At 51.5% G+C, this 17,999-nt stretch overlaps 1 protein-coding gene and 1 long non-coding RNA gene across 2 annotated transcripts, besides 5 other annotated features; one reads left to right on the forward strand and one right to left on the reverse strand.

The window, feature by feature from the left end:
- On the reverse strand, nucleotides 1,033–13,411 carry SYP (synaptophysin). Its single transcript, NM_003179.3, has 7 exons — nucleotides 13,369–13,411; nucleotides 12,186–12,251; nucleotides 10,933–11,057; nucleotides 7,384–7,579; nucleotides 6,490–6,681; nucleotides 4,651–4,981; nucleotides 1,033–2,500 (listed from the first exon to the last, which is right to left on the reverse strand). Exons 1-6 carry the CDS (start codon nucleotides 13,402–13,404, stop codon nucleotides 4,655–4,657), a joined length of 942 nt encoding a protein of 313 aa, NP_003170.1. The 5' UTR covers nucleotides 13,405–13,411; the 3' UTR covers nucleotides 1,033–2,500; nucleotides 4,651–4,654.
- Nucleotides 3,462–3,541: a silencer, noted in NCBI's record as "silent region_20841". NCBI's record gives its function as "represses an Ori minimal core promoter by ATAC-STARR-seq in GM12878 lymphoblastoid cells {active_cell/tissue: GM12878}" and the evidence as "EXISTENCE:reporter gene assay evidence [ECO:0000049][PMID:35858748]".
- Nucleotides 4,381–4,450: an enhancer, noted in NCBI's record as "active region_29635". NCBI's record gives its function as "activates an Ori minimal core promoter by ATAC-STARR-seq in GM12878 lymphoblastoid cells {active_cell/tissue: GM12878}" and the evidence as "EXISTENCE:reporter gene assay evidence [ECO:0000049][PMID:35858748]".
- Nucleotides 6,606–7,126: a transcriptional cis regulatory region, noted in NCBI's record as "genic|chrX:49049845-49050365 region (GRCh37/hg19 assembly coordinates) targeted for CRISPR interference". NCBI's record gives its function as "positively regulates PLP2 gene expression in K562 cells {active_cell/tissue: K562}" and the evidence as "EXISTENCE:mutant phenotype evidence [ECO:0000015][PMID:31784727]".
- Nucleotides 12,057–15,672, forward strand: SYP-AS1 (SYP antisense RNA 1). Its single transcript, NR_046649.1, has 2 exons — nucleotides 12,057–12,442; nucleotides 15,390–15,672. It is a non-coding gene; the product is annotated as an SYP antisense RNA 1 (long non-coding RNA).
- Nucleotides 13,244–13,293: a silencer, noted in NCBI's record as "silent region_20842". NCBI's record gives its function as "represses an Ori minimal core promoter by ATAC-STARR-seq in GM12878 lymphoblastoid cells {active_cell/tissue: GM12878}" and the evidence as "EXISTENCE:reporter gene assay evidence [ECO:0000049][PMID:35858748]".
- Nucleotides 13,364–13,603: a silencer, noted in NCBI's record as "silent region_20843". NCBI's record gives its function as "represses an Ori minimal core promoter by ATAC-STARR-seq in GM12878 lymphoblastoid cells {active_cell/tissue: GM12878}" and the evidence as "EXISTENCE:reporter gene assay evidence [ECO:0000049][PMID:35858748]".

Raw genomic sequence — 17,999 nt, forward strand, 5'->3', positions numbered from 1 at the left:
TCCGAGGGTCTCCCCGATGAATGCTGCAACAATGGGCCCCAACCTCACCCGCAGCCCCAGCTGGTGCTCGCTGGGAACCTGGGAACCTGGCCCTAGCCACCAGAGAGCTAGATCTTATACGCACTCCTCCCTTCTCATTCCCCTCTCAGCGAGGCCAGGTTCCAAAGCCCTCGTCCCCTCTCTCCCCTCATCCTTATAAGCCTAGCTGTCCAGCCCCGTCCCCCCACCCCAAGTCTTGAGAAGTAGATCTTAAAGCCTTCCCTCCCCCACCCACATTTTTCTCTCTCCAGTTATCCCCTTCCCCAGCTCAGTTCCAGGGCGGGGAGCCTCTCCTTCACGCTCTCAGGCTTGGCTGTGCCTCCGGGCTGGGGGGAGGGGGTCCCATGGCCTCAGTCAGAACTCGGCCCGGGTCTCTATGCACGGAGACTGCAGCGGCCAGGCCCTTCATCGCGGGCCCCGGGGACCTCTCCCCGCCCCCCATTACACATGTCCCTGTCACTTCCCGTGGAGTGGAGAGGTAAAAGAGAATAACTAATGAACTAAGGAGTCACCCCGGCGCCCCACCTCCCCTCCTTGCCTAACCTGTCTCCCATTTCTCCAGCCTGGGCGGAGGCAGGGAAAGGAGAGACAGTAGGGTCTGAAGATTAGGGATGGGGTCAGGCAATGTGAGGTTTCCTCCTATTCGGACCCCTTGGGGATTTGAGGAGAGGGTTCCACAGGGGCTCGGAAGAGGCTTGGCTAAGGGACCAGAATTAGAACCAACTCCTAGAAAGACCGGGCATTTGGTGGCCAGTAGTGGGAGGGTGAGCAGGGCTACTCAGAGAGTGACAGAGTGATTGGCAGGAGAGGCTTCCCAGAGGATGCTGCTCTGCCTAACACTTTTGAAGGGGCCTGAAATGGTGCAGCAAGCTGAACTGCGGTCGGTGGGTCCGGGTGGAGCTTGTTCTCACCACCTCTCCCTCCTTTCTCCCCCGGCCAACCTCCTCCCCGGCGCCCGAAAAAGACACACTGAGAAATCAGAGCCGGGTAGACTAGGTGGTTAAGGAGTTTATTTGGGAGAGGAGAATCATATTTGTTCTTCCTTGGGGAGGGGGGTTCTTTGAACAATACCGAAGGGTTTGGGAAAGGGTAGGGGTCTGGAGGGGAGAAGGAGGGGCCACAGCCAGACAAAATGGCAACACACGATCACAGGCACTACTGACATCACAGACATAGCAGAGGGTGCAGGATAGGGGCTCCAGACCAGGCCTCCAACCACCCCAGGACGGGTGGAGGTGTGGAGGGAGGGAGGGCGCAGGGGAAGGGGGAAGAGGGGTGGGCCAGTCCCACAGACCCGTTGGTTCTGTCCTCCTATTAACCTAGCTGTTTCATCACGGGAGTGGGGAAGGGTGTGTGTGGTGGGGTGCTTCTCTCTGGATCCCACGCCTCACCCTACAAGCCATATCACTCGACTCTTCTCAGGCCACTTCCGTCCCAAGTCGTAGCCAGAGCCATTCTCCCCCACCCCTAACAAAACCCATCTGGAAGCTCCTATCCAAGTCCCCTCTCCACTGCCCAAACCCAGCCATTGTAAAACATTTTCTTCACTGCACCATGGGGAGGGGCTGCCCTTTCTGAAACCACCATGGAAGCCCCATTCTAAGCCCCACCCTGTCTGGAACCCTGGCTTGGCCCATTCCTGAATCCCACTTCTTGCCTTGCTCAAGATCTGTCCCCTTTAGAATCAAGCTCAGTCTCCCAAATGTTCCAAGCCACACCCTTTCCATAGGCTCTGGTACCAATCCAAGACCCACCTACTCTGGAGCCCACCATTCTGCCTCGCTTAAAGCCTCGCCCCTTCTAGAACCCTGCCCTCAGCGCCCTTCCAAGCCCCACCCCAGAATGCTCTAGCGCACTCCTCTCCTTCAGACTCCAGATCCACTCTGTCTGGAACCCAACCCCCCTGCTGACCCCTCCACTCCACACCTCCTCTCCAAGACCACCTTGGGTCCTAAACTGTCCTCTCTACCCCAAGCCCCCCCAATCTCTGCCTTTCTTTAACCCTGGAGTTGGATTTCCCTAACGGCCTTTGTTCAGGCAGGCATTGCTGGAGGAACCAAGGCCAGAGTTGGGAGGAGTGGAGGGAGAGAGAGGAGAGAGTCTGAAGTCACGCCCACCCTCCCCACACAGCCGAGGTCTGTTCCCTCCCTGTCCTCCTTTTAGATCCCCTTAACCTCAGGGGACAGGGAGGGTAAACAGAGAGGGGCCAAGGGATGCAGGGAAAGGGACGGGGTAAGAGAGGGGGCCCACTCAAGACTGGGCACCTAGTGGATGAGGGGAGTGGAGTGAGGGCAGGGCTCAGACAGATAAATAGATATTTATATATAATATATATATATATAAACAGCAAAGACAGGGTCTCCTGGCTTGAGGGGTGGAGACCTAGGGTATAGGGGTGGGAAGGGGGGCAGGCCTTCTCCTGAGCTCTTGCCCCCCCCAGGTCCTCCTGGGCTTCACTGACCTGTAGAGACAAAAGACACAGAAAGGAGAGGGGGTCTGACATGGGTGGCGCCCTCAGATAGGGGTTGGGCTGTTATGCCTTTGTCCTGGCTTTATGTCTTTTCTTCTTTCCTGGAGCCAGCTTCATCCCAGCTGCCTCTGCTGAGAAGATATACCTGACCTTGCCCCCACTGGGTTAGGTACCAAAGAGATTACAGTCTCCTTCCTCCAACCAAAAAAATAGTCCCTTAACAGGTACTGTTCTAGCCATTTGTGATAAACTATATTGAGCAAAACAAAGATCCCTGTCTTTGTGGAGCTTATACTGAAGCAGAGATAGACTTCACACAGCGAACATGATGCATGAGTGGATTATCTCGTATAACATAGGGTGACAATAATAAGTGAAATGGAAAAAATAAAGTGAGCTGGGCATGGTCGCTCACACTTATAGTCTCAGCTACTTGGGAGGCTGAGGTGGGAGGATCACCTGAGCCCAGGAGTTCAAGTCTAGCATTCCTAAAGTGCTAGGATTACAGGCGTGAGCTACCACGCCCAGCCTGCGACAGGGCAGAGTTCTGACACAGGAGGACTGTGGCCTAATTTAGGATTTAACAGAATCCCTCCAGATGCTGTGAGTAGAACAGAATGGAAATGGAGACCTGAGAAGAGGTCTGGGAGAGATGACAGTGGAAGATGAAGGATATATTTTTTGAAGGTAGGACCCACAGGATTTTTTGATGAATTAGATGTGGGATGCCCTTTCCATCCTGGCTAACCCAGTGTCAGAAGCTACCTCCATCCAAGTATTGCCACCTTCTTGCCTTCCCCCACTTTTTAGCCACCCCTTAGCCTTTTCCTCCTGCCTTTCCTCCCCTATATCCTCCCTCCTATCTGAGGGAAATCTCACTTCTCTTTTTCTTTTTTTTTTTGTTTTGAGACAGAGTCTCGCTCTGTTGCCCAGGCTGGAGTGCAGTGGCGCAATCTCGACTCACTGGAACCTCCGCCTCCCAGATTCAAGCGATTCTCCTGCCTCAGCCTCCAGAGTAGCTGGAACTACAGACGTGCGCCACCATGCCCGGCTAATTTTTATATGTTTAGTAGAGACGGGGTTTCACCGTGTTGGCCAGGCTAGTCTCGAACTCCTGACCTCAGGTGATCTGCCCACCTTGGTCTCCCAAAGTGCTGGGATTACAGGCATGAGCCACCTCACCTGGCCTCTTTTCTTTCTTTCTTTTTTTCTTCCTTTCTTTCTTTCCATTTTTTTTTTTTTTTTGAGACAAGGTCTCGCTCTGTTGCCCAGGCTGGAGTGCAGTGGCAGGATCATAGCTCACGGCAGCCTCAACCTCCTGGGCTTAAGTGATCCTCCCACTTCAGCCTCCTGAGTAGATGGGTCCACAGATGCATGCCACCACGCCCGGCTAATTTTTGTATTTTTTGTAGAGGTGGGATTTCATCATGTTGCCCAGGCTGGTCTCGAACTCTTGGGCTCAAGCGGCCCGCCCGCCTCGGTCTCCCAAAGTGCTGAGATTACAGGCATGAGCCACCAAGCCCCGACCCTCACTTCTCTTTTAAGGCCCAGCAAGAAGGCCGGCAAACCTTTCCAGGACCCCACCCTATCCCTCTTCCTCCTTTGAAATTCCACACTACTTCCCTCCCCTCCAGCGTTGGGGAGAGGCGGCAGATCTATCCCCTCCTCCCGGATTGGTGAGCTCGTCTGACCTTCAAGATCCACGCCCATTTACCCTCACCATCTATTGGCCTTATCACCTATTGGCTTATCAGTCACTTCTAAGACCCACCTCCTCGTCGCTTCCGTGGCTCTTGCGCTCCGCTGATTCGCCACTGCGCAAGTCCCCCGATATTCCCTCCCTTTATTGGTTGCTCTGCTTCTCTCCCCCCGCCTTTCCGCCGAGTTGCCCTTCTACCTCCCTCCCATTGGCTCTTCATTCTGTCCATCTTGAAGCACCATTCTTCTTTTCTCCATTCATTAGCTAGTTTTTCAGCTCTTAGCAGGTAGTTCTGCCTCTTGATTGGCTCCTTCAAACTTCAGTCCTTACTTGCCCCAGTAAACGCCTTACGTACTCTCTACCCCTGACTCTTATTGGTTCACTGACCCGCTCGTCTCCTTCCTTGTACCCTCCTTGGCCGCACCGCTCGCCGGTCACTCACCAGACTACATCTGATTGGAGAAGGAGGTGGGTGCACCCTGCGGGCCGTAGCCTTGCTGCCCATAGTCGCCCTGAGGCCCGTAGCCACTGCCACCGCTGCCGGCTGGTTGACCATAGTCAGGCTGGTAGCCGCCCTGAGGCCCGTAGGAATCCTGGGGCCCGTACCCGCCGGGGCCCTGCCCGTAGCCTGCATCGCCGTAGGCGTCCCCGGGTGCCGGTTGTTTCTCGGGGGCGCCGGGAGGCGCGCGCAGGAACGGGGCGGCCCAGCCTGTCTCCTTAAACACGAACCACAGGTTGCCGACCCAGAGCACCAGGTTCAGGAAGCCGAACACCTGCAGGGAGACAAGGCTCGGCTGTGGTACCCCGCCCATTGCCTTGGCGGCCCTGCGTGCAGGAATGAGCATGCGGGGAATGAATCCGTAGGCTCCGCAAGGTGGGGGTTTCTGAAACCCAGACTCTCTGAGTCCCAGTGCGAGAACGTCGATGTGCAGAAAAATCACCTCTGGCGGGGTGGGCGTGTTAGAAGAATTTGGAGCCCTGGGGATGCTGCGATCTATCAGTATTACATATACAATTATTTACATATTTGCACATATACACATTATATACACATTTATGCATGTTTAAAATGTAAATTTGTAATATATTCATAGTAAAATGTAAGGATACAAACTTATTAAATATAGCTATACCACTAACATGCATCTAAATAAATGTAGATAAAATATATGTATAAGTGCACATGTATAAGATATATGAAACTTGCATAATTTTTTTTTTGAGATGGAGTTTCGCTCTTGTTGCCCAGGCGGGAGTGCAATGGCACGATCTCGGCTCACCACAACCTTCGCCTCCCGGGTTCAAGCAATTCTCCTGCCTCAGCCTCCCGAGTAGCTGGGATTACAGGCATGCACCACCACACCAGCTAATTTTGTATTTTTAGTAGAGATGGGGTTTCTCCATGTTGGTCAGGCTGGTCTTGAACTCCCGACCTCAGGTGATCTGCCCGCCTCGGCCTCCCATAGTGCTGGGATTACTGGCGTGAGCTACCGCACCCGGCCACATAAAGTAATTTTAAGACATAAAACACTTTCTGTACCTTTCCTTATATGCCAAGCCCTCTTCTAAGAGCTTTACATGTTATAAGCTCACTTAAAATTCAGTTTTGGGCAGGAAATACTATCTCCATTTTACAGTTGAGGAAACTGAGGCCCTAGAGGCTAAGTTACCTGAAGTCTCACATCCAGCAAGTGACAGGAAAGAAAAGTTGTAATCTTAGCATCTGTAACCCTTGTATACGACTTACCTTGTGCCAGGCCCTTTTCTGAGCACTCCGTATTCTTAGTTCAATAAATACTCAACTTTGGAGCAGGACCTATTATTAGTCTTCGATTATGCATGCTCAACTGAACCTTGAGAGGCTGTGACTAGTTTCAGGTCAGGGAGCTTGCAAGAGGTAGAGCTGGGATTTGAGCGCAGACAGTCTGACTCCAGCCAGTAGGGGGCATCCAAGTGGGGAAACATTTCAAGTTTTTCCTTCATTTTGCACATGAGGAAACTGAGGTCCCAAGAGGGTGCTGAGTTGCTTATTTTACATGTCTAGGCTGGGTCTGGGATCCAGGTCTCCCAAACCTGTCATGTTCCCCCTTTGGGGACAGTCTGTGGTGTCACAGTGGTTACAATTGCTAGCTCATCCTTCAACGTTGTTGTTGGCACGCGTTCTTCAGGGACACCCCTTGGATCTCCCCTGACTCTCCTCTTATTCTCCCACTCCACCACTCCCCATGCCGGACTGTACTGTTTTCCACTCTCCCTCCTCCAGCCAGCACCCAGGGCTTACCACCGAGGTGTTGAGTCCCGAGGTCACAGGGTCTCTCAGCTCCTTGCATGTGTTCCCTGTCTGGCGGCAGACAGGCATCTCCTTGATAATGTTCTCTGGGTCTGTGGCCATCTTCACATCTGACAGCCCCTTGGCCCATGCCGATGAGCTAACTAGCCACATGAAGGCGAACACAGCCGTGGCCAGAAAGTCCTAAGGCAGGCAGGGGTGAGGAAGACAGCACTGTGAGTGGACTGCTTCACGCTAGGCCCTGGGGCCTCCTCGGATCACAGGTCCCCCAGAAGAGGCCTGTCTCTCCCCTGCCTTTTCAGCTCTCAAGCCCACAACACTTTCACCTGAAGGTGGCCCTCCCAGCTTGAGCTTGTGTGTGTACATGACACAGAGGATGTGGGAGTGTGATTGTGATATGTGGCTGTGGGTGTTGGGGGGAGGGGAACTCTGGGATGATTTCCGAATCTGTGGAAAGTAATGTGTCTTTCTACTTTTGTCTGCATGTGGGAATTTTTGTCATTTTGTGTCTAGGCTGAGGGTATGTGAGTACAGTGGTGTAGGAATCAGTGTGTCTGTGTGGCATGATGACAGGCATGACTGTCACAGCGAACCTCTGTGGGCCTCTTCCTTTGATCTAGGCTGTGTAGTTGTGTGAGAGTGGGAAGGTTCTCAGGTGTGGGCCTGTCTGGGATTCTGCATAGGCTGTATGTCTCCGTGACTCTATGACTCTGTGTCCCGGATGCCTGGTGTGGATTAATAGCAGCAGCAACTATATGTGTGGCTGTTATGGTGGCTGTTTGCATGTGGGCCTGTCTGGGATTTGGTGTGGTCTGTGAGCATGGCTGTGTCCCTGGGGTTCCGTGTCCCCATGGTCCCTACATGCAAGTGGCTGTGGGGACTCACCAGCATGGGCCCTTTGTTATTCTCTCGGTACTTGTTCTGCAGGAAGATGTAGGTGGCCAGAGCCCCCATGGAGTAGAGGAAGGCAAACACGGCCACGGTGACAAAGAATTCGGCTGACGAGGAGTAGTCCCCAACTAAGAAGACCTTGGTGGTGCCCCCTCGGCAGGTGGGTGCATCAAAGTACACTTGGTGCAGCCTGCAAACAGAGGTGGGCAGGTGTGGCCCAGCCCCTCAGAACACCCTCAACCCTCCAGCCCAATCATGGGTCCCCCCATTTCTGACAAGGCCCCAGGAAGAGGAGGAAATAACCATTCATCGAGCACCTACTATGTACCAGTCACATTTCACTGATTGCTCAAAACATCCTGGTGAGATAGGTGTTATTCATCCCTCACTCCAACCCAAGCACTCTGGCCTCTTGATTATTTCTAGAACTTGCCAGGCATCCTCCCTCCCTAGGATCTTTGTTTGTACTGGCTGTTCCCTTTGCCAGGAATGCTTTTCCCCTAGATAGCTTCGGGTCTTACTCCCTCATCTCCTTTTTTTTTTTTTTTTTTTTTTTGAGATGGAGTCTTGCTCTGTCACCAGGCTGGAGTGCGGTGGCACAATCCCGGCTCACTGCAACCTCTGCCTCCCGGGTTCAAGCGATTCTCCTGCCTCAGCCTCCTGAGTAGCTGGGATTACAGGCATGCGCCGCTACGCCCAGCTAATTTTTGTACTTTTAATAGAGACGGGGTTTCACCGTGTTGGCCAGGATAGTCTTGATCTCTTGACCTTGTGATCTGCCCGCCTTGGCCTCCCAGAGTGCTGGGATTACAGGCGTGAGCCACTGCGCCCGGCCTCCCTCATCTCCTTGAAGCTTTGCTCAACTGTCACCTTCTCATTGAGACCTTCCCTGATCTCCCTACTTAAAATTAAATTGAAACATTCTCTCAACCAGCACTTCTTAGCCTGGCTTCCTTGCTCCACTTTTCTCGATAGTAGTGGTACCCATCTGACATACCAGGTATTTTTTTTTTTTTTAATCTTGGTTTTTGCTGTAACTACAAGAGGGCAGGGCTTTTTCCTGTGTTTTCACCTCCGTTTATCTCCAGGCCCTGGAACAGTGCTGGCACCTAGCAGACACTCAAGAAATGTTTATCAAATGAAATGTACAGAGGCGGAAACAGAGGCTCAGGGAAGTGCATTAACTTGCCTAAAGTCACACAGCTGGCAAGGGAATGTCAGAGTTGAGATCTGAACCTTGTTTTCTCCCTATCTCATGTTGACTTTTCTCCCCCACCCCAGTTCAGGTCCCCGAGAGAAAAAAATGTATGCATAGCAGAGGAGAGGCCAGCGACTAGATAACAGGAAAAGACAGACAGAAAGAAAGGAGGGTAAAGGGATCTTGGAACAGGGTGTGTGTATGTGAGGGAAGAGGGGAGGTGTCCTGGGACTAAGGCCTTTCCTGTGGTGTGATGGAGGAGAGGTGGGGGTTGTAGAGAGAAAATGTCTGTGGGAGAAGTTCTGGAGCACAGTCTCAGATTGGAGGCCAGGATCCTGAGACTGAGCAAATGGTGCCAATGCCTTTGTGTAGCAAAGGCCCTGAGGGAAGAGGCTTGCACTTATTAGTCACCTACTAAGCAGTTTACATAAATGTCTCATTAATGACAGCCTCCAGCAATTCTCTAAAGAAGGCATTATTAGACCCTTTTTACAGATGAATAAACAGAGGCTTAGCAAGGTTATTACTTGCCCAAGGTTGTACAGCTCCTAAATGATGGAGCTAGGAGTTGCATCTGGGTTTGAGTTTCTGTTTCTAGTGGGCTGGGTCAGGAGAGGGGGTCCCTAAGAGGGAATGAGAGGTCCTTGGGTATTAGGGCAGTTTGGGAGGGATTTTGCTCAGGGGGACCCAGGGCCAAGACTGTTTTTCTAGGGGACTTGTGGGCTAGAGCCTTAGGACCCAAAGTTCTAGACATGGGAGGCGTGGGGAGGGGGCACAGGGGATGGTTGTGGTCTTGTGGATCCCCAAAGGACTGGCTCTAAGCAGTGTCCCTTGCTGCCAGCTCCCCCTCCTTCCCCAGACTCTTTTCTCCCTTGCCTTTGTGGACCCATGGATACCTGGCTGCCCCTCTGCCTCTCAGGCCACACTTTCCCGGCATCTCCTCTCTTTTCCATCATTGCTCAGGGCCTGTGCTAGGTTTTCTTCTACTTTCACTCTTCCATCTCCCCACTGGGTGATCACTTGAGCCTACATTTACCCTCAGTACTCGAAGACCCCCAGTTTCCAACTCAACCCCTGTCCTCTTTCCTGAGTCCCTTAAATTTATTTTACTTATTGAACAGACACTGATGGAGCACTTATTGTGTGCCAGGCACTGTGCTAAGCACCTGATGAATATTAACTCATTGAATGCTAACCACGACCCTGTGAGGTAGATATTATTAGTATTCCTTTTTACAGATGAGGAAATTGAGACCCAGAGTGGTTATGTGATTTGGCCAAATAGTGGGGGAGTCTCAGAAACCTGTGCGGGGATTGTGTCTGTGGGTCTCTGTCATCCCACCCTGCAGGAGGTAAACATCATTGTGAGGGTAGTGCCCATGCCAGCCGTGCTCATTCTTGTGCACCTAGCACCCAGTGTATTGCCCGGCACACAGTGTGAGCTCAATAAATGTCAGAATTGTTTAATTGGGTTTAATTTTTCCCTATATCTAAGCAGCACCCCTCATTATTCTATTCTCTACCATAAAACCCTACATGAGGATCTCCTCGAGTTTCTCTCAGTCTGCTATTATCCTCTTTGTTAATTTATTTGTTATAATGTAGGCTCCATGAAGGTAGGGAGTTGGGTCTGGTTTTTTTTTTTTTGGAGATGGAGTTTCGCTCTTGTTGCCCAGGCTGGAGTGCAATGGCGCGATTTCGGCTCCCAGGTTCAAGTGATTCTCCTGCCTCAGCCTCCTGAGTAGCCGGGATTACAGGCATGCATGACCACGCCTGGCTAATTTTGTATTTTTAGTAGAGACGGGGTTTCTCCATGTTGGTCAGGCTGGTCTCGAACTCCTGACCTCAGGTGATCCGCCCACCTCGGCCTCTCAAAGTGCTGGGATTACAGGCGTGAGCCACTGTGCCTGGCGGGAGTTGGGTCTGTTTTAGTTACTATCATGCTTCCAGCACTTTGAGTAGTACCAGATATAAAATAAGTTCTCAAAAATGTGTATAGAATGAATGAATGGGGATTAAATAATAATATTGGCTAACATTAATTGGGTACCTACTGGGTTAAGGTATGTATATACACCTGTCTTACTTTTGTATCTTGTTTATTGCCTGTCCCTTACCCCTTCGCTGGAACAGAGCCAGAGGGCCACAGCCTATGTCTGCCTTGCTCACCACATAGTCCTAGAGTCCAGAGCAGTGCCAGGTACAAGGCAGGTGCTCAGTGATCCCAGTGGATGTAGCCTCGAGGTGGGAGCTGGGCAGGAGCTACTTGCGGGGGGAGGTATTGGCCGGTTCCACCCTGCCCCTTCCTCTCCCAGGTCTGTTGGTATCCCAGGGTGGGAGCACACCTGAAGGGGTACTCGAACTCGACCTCGATGCTGAGGTCACTCTCGGTCTTGTTGGCACAATCCACGCTCAGCTGGAGCTCCCCACTGTAGCTGCCGCATGTGGCAAAGGCGAAGATGGCGAAGACCTTGGGCAGCAGGGATGGGGATGGCCACAGTGAACCTGTGTGCATGTGGGAGGGAGGTGCCCTCCTCTGGACAGATCGGGGGCCCAGCACAGGCAGCAGCAGATGGAGCAGTCCCCACCCCCACCCCCTAATCAGGGCTCATCGGGACCAAGGACAAGCTGATTACAAGGGTATGGCTGTCTCTTCCTGTTTCTCTCTCTGTGTCTCTCTCTGTCTCTGCCTTTCCATGCTGACCTCCCTCTTCTCTGTTTGTCTCTGTTGTTCTCTGTGTATCTCACTGTGTCTCTGTTTCTCTCGGTATCTCTGTTTCTCTATGTGTCTTTGTCTTTCTCAGATGTCTCTTTGTCTCTCTGTGTCTCTGATCCTCTCTGCCTCTGCCTATCTGATCTGTCGATGTCTCTTTTTGTCTCTTTTTTCTCTGTCTGTGTAAGTGTATGCCTGTATGTCTGTGTCTTTCTGTTTCTTGGTCTGTTTGTCTCTGTCTCTCTGTCCTGTCTCTCACTCGGTCTCCGGATGGTTCTCTCTCTGTCTCCCTCTTGCCTCTGTGTGTTGGTTTCTCTTTTTTCTGAGTGTCTCTTTCTCTCTGTGTCTCTCTCTCCCTCACCCTGTTTTCCTGCCTCTCTCCCTGCGTCTGTTTCTCTTTGCATCTGTTTTCTGTGTCTCCTTTTTCTTTGTTTCTGTTTGTCTCTTCTCTCTTATGTCTGTATCTCTTCTCATCTCCATATTTCTTTTTTTTTTCTCAGTATTTCCATCTCTGTCTTTATCATTCCCTGTCCCTCATTCTCTCTGTCACCTTCACTGTCTCTGGGTTTCTCTGACTTTGCATCTCTCACCCAGCATCTGCTACAGGCTCCACCTCCCCCACCCCTCCCTCACTTCAAGAGAGGAGGTAGGACGTCACAGTCTCCCACTTCACAACGGGGGTACCCTCAGCCCTATGTGACGTCACAGCTCATCTGTTTTCTGGCTTCAGACCCCTGAAACCTCACCCTGGAGCCCAATTCCCCCATCCCCTACAACCCCCGCACTCATCCCTGGCTACTCGCCCCTACTCCACCCCTGCTCTTCTGGACCCCATGACCTCCCTCTCTCCCTGCACTCTGCCCCAACAGCCCGGACCACACTCACCCATTGCAGCACCTTCACAAAGCCGAGGGGCTCCTTGACCACCCGGAACTGACCCCCAGCCACCAGCTGAGGAGAGAAACAGTGGGGAAGGGGTGGGGTTGTTGGAGGTACAGGGAGGTGAGCGGCAAGGCTGCCCATCAATGACCCCAGGGGATGGAGCATGTGACCTCGGGGAGAGGGTGAGAAGGAGAAAGTGACACCTTGGGGATGGTGTGAGCCCCAGGGTCCAAGGACTGGTGGGAAGGTCTGAAGAGATGGTGAGTCAGATGGCAGAGGAAGTCGGGGGTGAGGGAGATGGGGATGAGGTCAGGACTAGTTAAGGAGGGGGAGCAGGTTTGAAACGTAAAGGCGAGTCGGATGGGGAAGGGGTTCGGGTAGAGAATGGGGATGGAGTGGGGTGCATTCGGGTGGGGGGGTTGTGATGGTGAAGGTGAGTCATAACGGGGCAGGAGTCGGTTTGGCTCAGGTGGGGGAAGGGTCTGCAGGGGTAAAGGTGTGTTAGACGGCGGTGGCGGTAGATATTTGAGGTGATGGGGATGGGGAAGGGTTGGGACTGATTGGGGGTGAGTTTCTGAGGTGGCAAAGACGAGAGACATGGCGGAGAGGGTCTGGACTGATTAAGGTGGGGGAGGGCTGGGACACGGCTTCAGTCGCTATGTGTTGGGGGTGAGGAGGCTGGGGGTTTTGGAAGGAGTAAAACCGGATTGTCCCCTAGGTGTGCTCTGGGGGAAGGGGTGGTCGCCTATGGGGGTACAGTCTCTGTTTGGGAGGGGCGGGTGCCAGCCCTCTCCCCCATCCCCGCCCCCACACCTTCTGTCGCTCTATTTCCTAGCTTATCCGCAGCACCCCCCATCTTCCTTCCACTCTCCCCTCCCCTTGTCCCTTGCCCTCACTCCAGCCCCCAGGCCCCTATTCCTCCCCTCGCGGTCGCCAGTAATAAACGGGGCTCCGGGGGCCCCCGCTGCGGCAGTGAGGACGGCCCTCGCTGCGGCAAAGAGCGCACTCCTTTTCTCCACCTCCCCCTTCCTCCCCTTCACCTGCCGCAGACCCCCATCCCCAGCGCCGGGGACCGGGTCTCCGCTGCCAGACCCTGGCCACCACCTCCCAGAGTCGGCTGGCCTGAGCGACCCGGCCTAGGCAGCCGGGCGGCGGCGGGCTCTGTCCACGGTGCTGGAGCGCGTACCTGATTCACCACGTCCATGTCCGCCAGCAGCAGCATCAGCAATGCAGGGGGCGGGAGGCTCGGCTAGCAAGGGCGGCGCGGGGCGCGGCGGGGGCGGCGCGCGCTCGTTGGAACAGCCCAGGCGGCTGCAGCCCCGCCCCTCGCGCCCCCTCCTTGCCCGCCACGCGCCTGCGCACAGCGGGTTGTACCACAGTCTCACCGGCAGCCATTCCGGCCCGGAGGCTGGAGCCGTGAGAGCGTGCGGGAATATGCGTTGGGAAAACACAAGTCGAGGGCCGGGGAGAGGAGACCTCCCTGCTCGGTCCTACAGTGTGACAACTTTGCCAGGCTCTTTTCTGAGTTTGTTAAACATGTTCACTCATTTAATGCTTACAGAAGTCCTACGTTGTAGGGACTATTAGGCCGTTTTTACAGACGAGGAAAATAATTCCCCAGAGAGCTTAAGTGACTCTCACAAGGTCAGCCAGCTACTAGCTGGCAGTGCCCAGAGTCCCTGCAGTTTAAACACGGTTCAAGGCCTTCCAGGTTCCTTTTTCATAGTCTGCATTTTAAGCACACCCTGAAACTCCTGCCCCCATCTAGCCATCTCCCTTATTTCTTTCTTCCTCTTTGTCAAATTAATGCCTACTCGAACTCTACCACTTTACCTATTTATTCCTTAGCTCTCTCTTAATTGGAATAACCCTCCTTCCTGCGACTAAAACTAGGCCCATCAAGGTCAACAGTGATGGCTATGATGCAAAATCCAAAATACAGTTGGGGCTTAAGATGCTCAACTTCGGCCAGGCGCAGTGGCTCATGCCTGTAATCCCAGCACTTTGGGAGGCCGAAGTGGACAGTGGATCACTTGAAGTCAGGAGTTTGAGACTAGCCTGGCCAACATAGTGAAACCCCATCTCTATTAAAAATACAAAAATTAGCTGGCTGTGGTGGCAGGCGCCTGTAATCCCAGCCACTTGGGAGGCTGAGGCAGGAGAATTGCTTGAACCCAGGAGGCGGAGGTTGCACTGAGGCGAGATTGCACCACTGCACTCCAGCCTGGGCAACAGAGCGAGACTCCATCTCAAAAACAAACAAGCAAACAAAAATACTGAGATACTGTTTTTCATCTTTCAGGGTGGTGAGTATCAAAAAGTTTGATAACGTTCCGTATTGGTAGGTTGGCCAGAAACAAGCGTTCTCATAAATCGCCTGTGGAAGTTTCATTGGTATAACGTGTAGAAGGCAATCGGGCAAAATCTAAAAAAAAAAAATAACAAATTCATTTACTGTTTGGTTCACCTTCATACTTCTAGGAATTCATCTTACAGATAGACTCATACATGTGCTAAAAGATATATGTATAAGATAATACATGACTGGGCTGTTTATTTTTTATTTTTTTTTGAGACGGAGTCTCACTCTGTTGCCCAGGCTGGAGTGCAGTGGCATGATCTCCGCTTACTGCAACCTCCGCCTCCCGGGTTCAAGCAATTCTCCCTGCCTCACCCTCCCTGAGTAGCTGAGATTACAGGCATTCACCACCACGCCCATCTAATTTTTTTTTTTTTTTTTGTAGTTTTAGTAGAGATGGGGTTTCGCCATATTGGCTAGGGTGGTCATGAACTCCTGACCTCATGTGATCTGCCTGCCTCGGCCTCCCAAAGTGCTGGGATTACAGGTGTGAGCCACTGGGCCAGGCCAGGGCTGTTTATAATAGGATAAAGAATGGACACTCCCAAAGTGCTCATTGTTGGTAGCCTGTTTAAATAAACTCTGATACTATGCCGCTGTCATTATAATAACATGGAACTATGGAATGATTGCCAAGATATTTAGTTAAGTAAAAAATGCAAGATGTCAAACTGTGTGGTAATTGTGTACAAAGAGAAGAGAAGGGTTATATCAGACAGAGAATAGCTAACATTTAAATTGTGGCTGTTTTCTGTCAAGTACTCTTTAGAGAACTTTGCCTGTATTACTCACTTAAATTCTTACTGTAACCCTATGTGACAGGTACGACAACTATCTTTGTTTTACAGCTGAATAAACTAAGAGGCGGAGAGGAATTTTCCTAAGTTCACACAGCTGGTAAATTGGTAGAACCAGGATATGAACCCAGGAAGTCTGGCTCCAGCACCTGTTACTCTTAGCCACTGTGCTAACTTATCAGTACACCATCTTTTTTTTTTCAGCACACCATCTTGTATGTCTGTGAAAGATACCTGATAATACTATTTGCTTCCAGAGGGTAGGGAAACTTTTCACTTTATACCCCTTTGTACCTTTTGAGACTCCATCTCAAATAAAATAAAAAAATAAACAGCCTGGTAGTGTATCATCTTATACATACACCTTTTAGCACATATATGAGTCTACCTGTAAGAAATTCCTAGAAGTATGAAGCTGAACAAAACAGTAAATGAATTTATTTTTCTAGATTTTGCCCAGTTGCCTTCTACACAGGTTATACCAATGAAACTTCCACAAGCGATTTATGAGAACGCTTGTTTCTGGCCAACCTGCCAGTATGGAACATTATCAAACTTTTTGATACTCACCACCCTGAAAGATGAAAAACAGCATCTCAGTAGTTTTGTTTTGTTTTGTTTTTGAGACAGAGTCTCACTCTGTTGCCCAGGCTGGAGTGCAGTGGTGCAATCTCAGTTCACTGCAACCTCCGCCTCCTGGGTTCAAACGATTCTCCTACCTCTGCCTCCTGAGTAGCTGGGATTACAAGCACAAACCACCACGTCCGGCTATTTTTTTTTTTTTTTTTTTTTTTTTTAGTAGAGATGGGGTTTTGCCATGTTGGCCAGGCTGGTTGTGAACTCCTGACCTTAAGTGATCCACTGTCCACTTGGCCTCCCAAAGTGCTGGGATTACAGGTGTGAGCCACTGCATCTGGCCTACCTTTTGAATTTTGAACCATCTGAATGAATATCTTTTTTTTGAGACAGGGTTTCCCTGTGTTGCCCAGGCTGGAGTCCAGTGGCATGAATATGGCTCACTGCAGCCTCGACCTCCTGGGCTCAAGCGATCCTCCTGCCTCAGCCTCCTATGTAGCTGGGACCACAGGCGTGAGACACCACGCCCAGCTAATTTTTAAATATTTTTGTAGAGACGAGGTCTCACTTTGTTGCCCAGGCTGGTCTTGAACTCCTGGGCTCAAGTGATCCTCCCGCCTCAGCCTCCCAAAGTGCTGAGATGACAGGCATGAGTCACCATGCCCAGCTCAATACCTGTTTTTTTAAACATGAAAATTCACACATATATGTAATGGATACTTCCCTGTTGTTGCCTTATTGGGGAAGCAGTACACAGGAGGGGTTAAAAGCATGGATCTTGGCATCAAACTGCTTGAATTTGAATGCCACCTCTGATACTTCTTGTTTGACCCTGGACAGGTAAGATGGTTTAAAATGATACCTATAAGGTTGTTGCACTGATTCAACGAGATGATCACTGTAATGCAGTTAGCACAGGGCCCAATAAATGGTTCATTTTACCTCCTACACATCTCTGGAATCCACTCACTTCTCACCATCTCCTCTGCCACCTCCTCTGGCTAAGGCGACCATCATTCCTGCCAATTTTAGCATCTCCAGTCTCTTCCCCCTCCCTTCTGTTTTCAGCACAGCCGTCAGAACATCTATTTAAAATGCAATGTTAACTATGTCACTACCCTACTCAAATCCCTCCCATGGCTCCCCACTGCTTATAGGAAAAATCCCAGAGTTTGGGACCTGGCATTCAAGGTTCCACCTGATCTGGCCTCAGTGGCTTCTCCCACCTCATCCCTCAACAGTCTCCCTTCACTCTCTGTGCCCTGCCCATGACTTGCTGTTCTCACCTAACTCCAGCCCAACCACTTTAAGCCTTTGTTTCAAGGCCTAATGTAACTCAATCTTCTCAGTCCTAGTCTCCAATTCTGGCTTCCCTCAAATTTCAGTCCTGGCTTGATTGGCGCAGATTATACAAATGAGACACCCCTGTTCTGGGAGCTGGGAAGAGTTCCTCCCCGACTGGTGGTCTCATCCTGCACCACTCCCAATGCTACCTTCAATTCCTCTGGAGTGGGGCTGACTCCCACTTTGGATGAGACCTGTCCCGTGTTTCAACCAGTTCAGTTTGCCCCGAGAGAAACCCAGAGCCGGTGCCTGGCACATAGTAAATGCCTGATAAGCCTTCAGTGAGCGAATGTAACCCCAAAGGCTGGGTGAAGAGTAAAGCTGGGGCAAGAAGCAGAGAGGACCTCTGGGATCTGTGTGGGATAAGAGTAGGTTACTGTTAGGTGGTCTCAGGAAAGCCAGGTGGGCCCTGAGTGGGTTCCCCAGGGCTGGGAGCCCTGACCTTTGCTGTCACCTATGTTGTCTACTGATGGATTTAGGTTTTCTTTTCTTTCTCAGGCAGAAAGTGGGAGATGGGAGACAGAGCGATCTCAATTTAGCCACCCTAAAATTCCTGTTGCCGTCAGAGGACCCCTCTGCCTAAGATGCATCACATACCAGGCCGATTCCAACCTCCAGGCCTCTCCCCTGGCAGGATTCTTCTCTGGGTTTCCTTGTCCTTTCCTTCTCATCCGTCTACCCTTCCTAGTTTGACCTGGCTGAGCCCTGGTGAAATCTCTGCCTCTCTTCCTCTCTGGGTCC

Source organism: Homo sapiens, chromosome X (assembly GCF_000001405.40).
Source record: "Homo sapiens chromosome X, GRCh38.p14 Primary Assembly".
Classification (NCBI taxonomy): domain Eukaryota; kingdom Metazoa; phylum Chordata; class Mammalia; order Primates; family Hominidae; genus Homo; species Homo sapiens.

Excerpts from the sequence above, each read along its gene's own strand:
- SYP (NM_003179.3), bottom strand. The coding sequence starts at position 13,404 with ATGCTGCTGCTGGCGGACATGGACGTGGTGAATCAG. Across the intron at positions 6,682-7,383 it reads ATAACAAAGGGCCCATGCTG|GACTTTCTGGCCACGGCTGT; the intron begins GTGAGTCCCCAC and ends TGCCTGCCTTAG. Across the intron at positions 4,982-6,489 it reads CGGGACTCAACACCTCGGTG|GTGTTCGGCTTCCTGAACCT; the intron begins GTAAGCCCTGGG and ends GTCTCCCTGCAG.